Source organism: Homo sapiens, chromosome 3, assembly GCF_000001405.40.
Source record: "Homo sapiens chromosome 3, GRCh38.p14 Primary Assembly".
In the NCBI taxonomy this organism is placed as follows: domain Eukaryota; kingdom Metazoa; phylum Chordata; class Mammalia; order Primates; family Hominidae; genus Homo; species Homo sapiens.
The window spans coordinates 167166814-167174432 of NC_000003.12; positions in this window are offsets into that span (position 1 = coordinate 167166814).

Genomic DNA, 7619 nt, shown 5'->3' on the forward strand with positions numbered 1-7619 from the left:
GCTGATTAGCCCCCTGGGTGACTTTGGCTTCCAAGGCAGCATTTCTTTTGACAGCTTGCTGAGGGTACAGATGTCTGGACAACAGATAAAGTTCTTAACCCTTATTTCTCATTTGGTTTCCCCTCAACTATTTTAATAGTGCCTGCAGACTTACAAACAGAAGGCGGTGGTTTATAAGGTTTTAAGATGTTCACTTAGGGGCTAACTCACTATCGGCTATGGCAAATTTACATCAGGAGCAGCACTTGTGACTCCTCCTTCACTCTCTAACTCCTTTCACATGTTGAACTTTGTAGATTGTATCTTTGCAATCTTAAATTAGCTAGAGCCATTTCATTTTCATTGCGACTATCCTTTCCCCAGTTCTATTATTAATGCCTAAGAATGAAACAAGCTTTCTACCTCATTCCTTATGATAGGATCTCATTTTCAGTTTTATATTACATTATTTCCTTCGATATGGCCAGTGCTCCATCCAAACTAAAATACTTTTTACTTCCTGGTTATGCACATGAATTCCAAGCTCTGTGCCTTTGTTCATGATCTATCCTCCTGATATATTTTTACCTAATCCATTATTCAAAATCAATGTTCTAGCCGCTATTTTTTGAGAGACCATAGATAATTTGGGGTTCTAGTATCAGAGCAGCTAGCAATCCAAAAATGAAGGGGAGCTAGACACGGGTGTTTTTGGTGTGCTTTTCACTGGATAGATACTCCATTTACCTGGCAGATAGCCTAATGCCCAATTAGTTGTCTGGCCTGTGATCCAGAGCCCCTCATACAGAAAACTTGTTTATACTGTCAGATGCCCTTGTAGCTCCTATCTGACCCATGTCCAGTTTACACATGCCTGACCATTTCTCTGGCATTGCAAGCCCAACCTGCTATTCTCTCTGGCATCCTGGGTGAAAATCTTGCCCTGGGACAGCCCCTAGTCCCTGAGATGGAAGGCACAAATGCCATATAGTACCACAATAGTAAACAAGTTCAAAGATTTTTACCTATAGATCTGGGCCAGAAGAGTGAAATGAGCGCAGTTCTTTATCTCTGGGTCGCATGAGGTCAGAATGAATAGTTAGGCAGAGAAAGAGAGACGAGCACGTGGCAACTAGCAGTACATATAAGGAAATATGGTGTGGGTCACTTCTAGTTCACAGGCAAATTCCTGAATTGTCCATTTAAAGGAAGCAGTGAGAAGGCCAGAAGCCTAGTCTGCCAGGCAGGAGAGATGCCTCTGAGGTTTTACCTCTGACCACTTGCATTAGCCATTTGCATGTGGTATAGAACTAGAAGCTGTGTCAAGGGTGACTGAGCCCTAAATCTGGTATGAGAAAGGTAAACTCTTATTCAAAGTGGATACTGAGGTAACATAAAATTATGAGAATTCACTGAGTACTACTAGTCACTGTGATATATCTGATTAACCTTAATGATTCTACCATTTTTAACAAATAACGCTTAGGTGTGTTTTTCAAACACCTTAAATTATTTCAAAAATATAGTCTCCATAAAATCAACCTTATACTCTGCTAACAAAATTCATCTTCCTGGAAAACAAATGCTGATTGTCTATAGAATCATTCAAATAGGCTATATTAAACTCCTTTTTTCCATAATTCTCGTGGTGGCTTTGTTTTCCTGATTGAGCGATGGCTGATACAATATGCAAATTTAAAAGCACATGTTCTTTGATCCTATTATTTTTCTTCTTGTATTCCTTGTATCTATTATAAACAATATTAACCCACATACATGAAGAAAATGAATAGCATTGATCAGTGTTTCATTGTAATAGGACAAACAAGATAACATTGAAATATCCATCAATGAGGTGGTACTATGCAACAATAAAAAATATGTCTACATCTATCAGCGATATTGAAAGTCTATGGGTCTACATCAGTCAATGACATTGAAAGTCTGTCAATATATGTTGTAAGTGAGAAATAGCAAATTTCCAAAAATACATACAGTGTGCGAAACAACACATAATAAAAACAAATGCATTGAAAAAAGTCTAGAAGAACTTTCTGTAAATTGTTACTCCTTGAGAAGGATGTGTGTTTGAGTGATGGGATGAAATAACTCTTTCTTTTTACTCACTTTACCAATGTATTGTTTAGCTTTTTTTCAGAGAGAATGCATTCACATGCTATACACTTATTTTAAACAACATATAGAATGGCAAATATTGATCTCATAGTGGATTGCATAATGGTGACCTGATGTGTTACTGTTTATGTTTGTTTATCTTTAGCTTCATAACCACATCACAGCAAACAGCTTGACGAATCTGTTAGAATACTAATGTAATTTTTAAAAGCACTGTCAAAAATAGAAAGGTCTTCTCAAGCAGTGTTGATCAGAGTCCTGAACAGGATATAATCTTCAATTTAGGGTATCATATTTCATGAGAGAAATTAATAACGACTGTGGCTCTGGAGTATAATCAGGGTATAGAATCCATGTGATATTAAGCACTTTAAACACTGAGGATATTCACAATGAACCAGAAAAGAATATGTCATTTAGGAAGATGTTAGCTTGAAAGCAGCAGACTGCTTGCTTAAAAAAAAACGTCTAATATAACAAGATAGCCCGTGGTAAGCACTTTCAGGGTAACTCAGCCAGCTCTCTATGATTATCTTATATTTTCCTCTCATAATTGCAAAATGACCTCGAGAATCATATGCTTTCATGGAAATACCAAAGGCTGAGATGAAGGGTGGGAAAGATCATTTATCCTGCATCACTGGTTAGGTGTCATCAAGCATAACTTCCACGTGTCTACTTGTCAGTCGCGGTGGAGAGAGAAAATGGCCACACGGCGACACCATATGAACTAATAACCTCTAAAAGCCATTCCAACTCTAAGAGTATCTCCACAAATGAGCCTAATCCACACAAGAAGCAACAATCAAGCACCGTTAGAGAAGTAGAGTACAACCAAATTAAAAACAAAAATTAAAGTCCAAAACTTAAAGTCAGGTTATCTAGCTGGTTTAAAAAAAAAATAAAAGCAGGTTGTGTACAGGTTGTGTACAGTCATGGAATCAAAATATTATACCTATTTACTAAGCCACCTGTAATACCAGTGGTGTTTTATTCAAGGTAGAGAAAACATCAGTCATTTCATATGGTTGCAAATGTCACTTGGAAAAAGAAAATTGCTGAGGACTTTCCATGTAAGTTTTTTGATATGCCAATCTAAATGTACTGTTATTACAACCTGAGATATAAAATATGTCCTCATAGGAAAAAAAAATTTCTATGTGTTTTGTAAGAACACTTACCCTAAAAAATGGTAAATGTATAATGCAGTATTGCTAACTATTGTTACAATGCTGTACGGCAGATTGCTGGAACAAATTCATCTTGCTATTATTTTAAATTATAATCTTTAACATTCAGTACCATATTCTCAGATTCTGTTGTTTCTCTATGTGCTCAGTCAACTCCTTTCTGTCATCATTATCTACTAAGTCGCCTCACTATATGGAGCACTTCATTATTTTCAATTCATATCCACTGAGAAGATGGATTTAGGAGCCAGGTAGTGATTATACCAGAGTAATTTATAAAGGTCTTCTTAGAATTTGTCCATCTTGCATGTGCTAGTGACCAGCCCACTGAGTTCTACATTACTCACTATTATTAAACCTGCAGGGATGTTTCACAAGGCTTCAGCCTTAATAACAATAAAAAGGCAAATGGAGGCACCTATTTATTACACCTCAACATCTAGTTTATTTACTAAGCAATAAGTACTGGCCATTACATTGACTCACTATCCTTCAGTTTACCAAACCCCCAAGACTATCTAATCATTTCTTCATTATTTGCTTATTAATTTTAAATGTAATCATTAGATTTGTGCTGCACTATTACCACTACTTAAATCTAAAATGTTGTGTTTATTTATTTTCATTCTTTCTATTGACGTATGCATTATCTATCACCTGTAAATTAACATGCACTTTCTAACACATTCTTTATGAAGTGACCAGCTTTCTGATTTAATAAAAAAAACCACATCTGTCCCTCAGACATTAACAGTAATCAACAGCTAGCCTATGACAATTAGTTTGACTTAAATGAAGTGTCTGAGTGATATATGGAGGAGAATATGTCGTGATGAAAACCATTTCTTCTATACCTAATTTAAAGCCTGCTAACAAAGTATGCTTCATATTATAATTTTAATTATATTTTTAAATTAAATGGATTTTATTCATTTTTACAGCCTTTATCCAAAATGCTATATTGTTGAATATATCTTTATTCTTGAGTTTTCATTATGAAGTGAAGATTGGGTTCATGGCGTGCAATAATTTCTGACACCAACCACCCAGAAACAGGTCAAATTCTACAGGTTAAGAGAACAATCTTCCACGTTGCCCTTATTTCAGACACCAGATGCAAGTTTTGGGGTCCCCAAGCCATTTTCACTTGTAATCTGTCAGCTACAAATTCAGGGGTTCCCACTACCCCCTTAGTTTCAATAATTCACTAGAACAACACAGAGAACTCAATAAAACATAATACTTAACTATTAAGGTTATACTATTGCAAAAGGATAGAAATCAGAACAAAGTACAGGGAGACATGCATAGAGTGAGGTCTTAGACGGTTTTAAACACAAAGCTTTTATTGTCTCCAGAGATGCATTAACCATTTGGCACATGAAGTGTGACAATATGCAGAGTATTGCCATCCAAGGAAGTTCACCTGAGCTTGGTGTTCAGATTTTTATTGGGATTTTATTACATAAGCATAATTGATTGAATCATTGGCCACCTGGTTGAACTCAACCTCCTACCACCCTAACTCTCCCCAGATGTTAGGCTGGTAGCATGTGGCTCAAAGTCTCAACTCTCTAATCACGTGGTTGGGCTTTCTAGTATGGACAGTTCTTATCCGACTTCTTCTCAATCACATAAACTATCTAGGAGTCCACCCTGAGTTATCTAATTGCCTAAACTATTAGGGGTTGTTCAGAAAGCACACCAGGAATAACAAAGACATTCCTATCACTAAGAAAATTCTAAGAATCTAGAAATTACTGCTCAACTGGGAACAAAATCCAGCAAAATTTTTTATTACAAGGGTTTGGAGGTTACTTCTCAGAAACCAGAGACAAAGTCCAGCCAAATTCTTGACAAGAAAGGGCAAAGAATTAAATACATATGTAGAGATTTTGTTATGCACATATTTCTCTATTTTACATGAAATTCAAAATTTCTTAGACTCATAGAGGAAAGTGTCCTCATAGTACACTAAATGTAGTAAAATAGACTTGATGTTCAACACTCATCACTTTTTCTTATATCACCCATTTCCCAGTAGTCAATAGCTCAGTTTGAAGTCATCCTCACTGGGTTAACAAAAATTCTGGACAGAAATATAGTTATACTTAACCATCATCAGCCTGCATTTTAACCCACTTCCTTGTTGCTGAAACTCACATAGAACCAGATGCTGATCATTTACATTCCCATTGTTTCTATAGATAGAATTTCTGAGGTTAGGGTCATAAGAATTTTGTTTAAGAATTGATTTGCATCCTCATTGTTCCTACAGATATATTATCTAACATTAGAATATTAAGGCTTTTGTTTAAGAATTACTTAAGATGTTTTTCAGATCCCAAATTTCAGCAAAATAGTGACACCAGAAGAACCAAATCAGCATGAGAATACAGTTTATTTCCCTGTCTCATGACTTCACCCTGTACTCTTTGGCCAATCAATAACTTTATACTTTGACCCATTCCAAAACCCTTAAAAACACTAGCCCCATACTCTTCAGGGAGATGGAGTTGAGATTTCCTCTTGTCTCTTTGTTCAGCGGCTCTATGATTAAACTTCTTTTTCTGCTGCAACTTGGTGTCTCAGTGTATTGACTTGCTGCACATATCAGGCAACATATCTATTATGTTTGCAAGTTGGAAGAGGAGGGTAAAAATAAAGGAGGTTTGTGTATAACATGCATTCATTAGCTGGAAAAGCAGCAGAGCAGGGCAAAATATTAGCCCAGCATACATACACCTGCAAAGAGTTCTTTTCTACTGACTTAGTCAAACCTAACTCTTCTCAGGACTTATGTTTTGATAAGCTATGCAGGTTTTCCTTACTGTAACAACAGACTATATTTTAATCCTGATTATGGAACACACCTCTACCTTCTTTTTTTACTTTTGATTTTTATTCAATGTATTTTCTTCTGGCTTTATGTAAACATTTGAAACATGCCTATCCTAGATATAATAGCCCCTTTCTCCTGACAAAATAGTCCCCCCAAAACACCATTAAATAACTACAAAAAATTGATCAAATACAAAATATATAGTTTTTATATAAAGTATATTTGTCTTTATTTTTTCAGAAACATTATAGAGCTATGGTTTTTCATGCAATGTATTGTTCCCTAAAAGTACATCCTACAATCTGGAGAGTGCTATCAATAATTTTATGATCTATATAATGAAAGCCATGGAGATTAGCTTATTTAGACAAATTCTCTTAATAGCTTAGCTGGGTGAACTAACAAGAGTGTTATTCTCTATAATTACAGGGATAGGAAAAACAAAGAGGCATCAATTTATTTGCTGTTTCATTGAATATTCATATTTTGAAATAAACCAAAATACTTTAAGGTTTACACAACTCTAATATTAGACAACCTATAAAAAGTATTAAGAGTGAAGTAAGGCATATTAAGCTGACTTTTCTATTGAAATACAGTCACTTTAAGAGAAGTAACTCACAAATCTGCATAATTTTTCTTGAAAACTGAAACCCAACTTTTGAAAAAGTCAGCAAGATAAAGACTCTTATCTGAGTGACTATAAGACACATGATTCACACACACAGACACACACACACACCTTTGTCAGGCAAATGGAAATGCATTAATGTAGGTCTTTAAGTTATACTTTATATTGCTAGTCATCACCAATTTAGATGCCTAAGGCCATTTCATGTATTGAATTCTTTAAATAAATCCACTTTAAATAGTCATTTATGTTTGGGTCAAATCCCAAGCTGAAGTGTTCCTCTACACTCTCCTTTGAGAATGATGACTTTCATCTACTACAAACAGACTTGTTGGTGGCGTATACTGAGAATAAGAATATATTAAATTCAGAAATGTTTTTACTTCATGAGCTCTCTATTTCACGTTTTTTTTTTTTTTTTTGCTTTCTCATTCCAAAGTGAATCTTATGGCAATTTGTACATACAAATTAATAGAATACTGTGGTTCCTTAATAAATTATAGAATTTTGCTAAAGGAAGAAAATTATGTAAATATGGTCAACATAACTGAAATTATAGAACAAATATATTTCAGGAAGGGAAAACTCATCATCCAAAATACACAGTGGCTAAAGGGAATTATGACTTTCCAAAGAGACACATTTCAGTTAGCATATGAAATTTAAGTTGGTGATTCTTATCTAACACAGGAGAATTTTAATCCATATTCAAAAGTGAATTTCACTTGCAAACACCATTGTATATTCAACTCTTGCAAATTGTAACTGTCTTTTAAATAGTCAAAAATGTACTTCTTGAGAATTACCTGATGTAATATGCAACAATTGCCTTTATATTAGG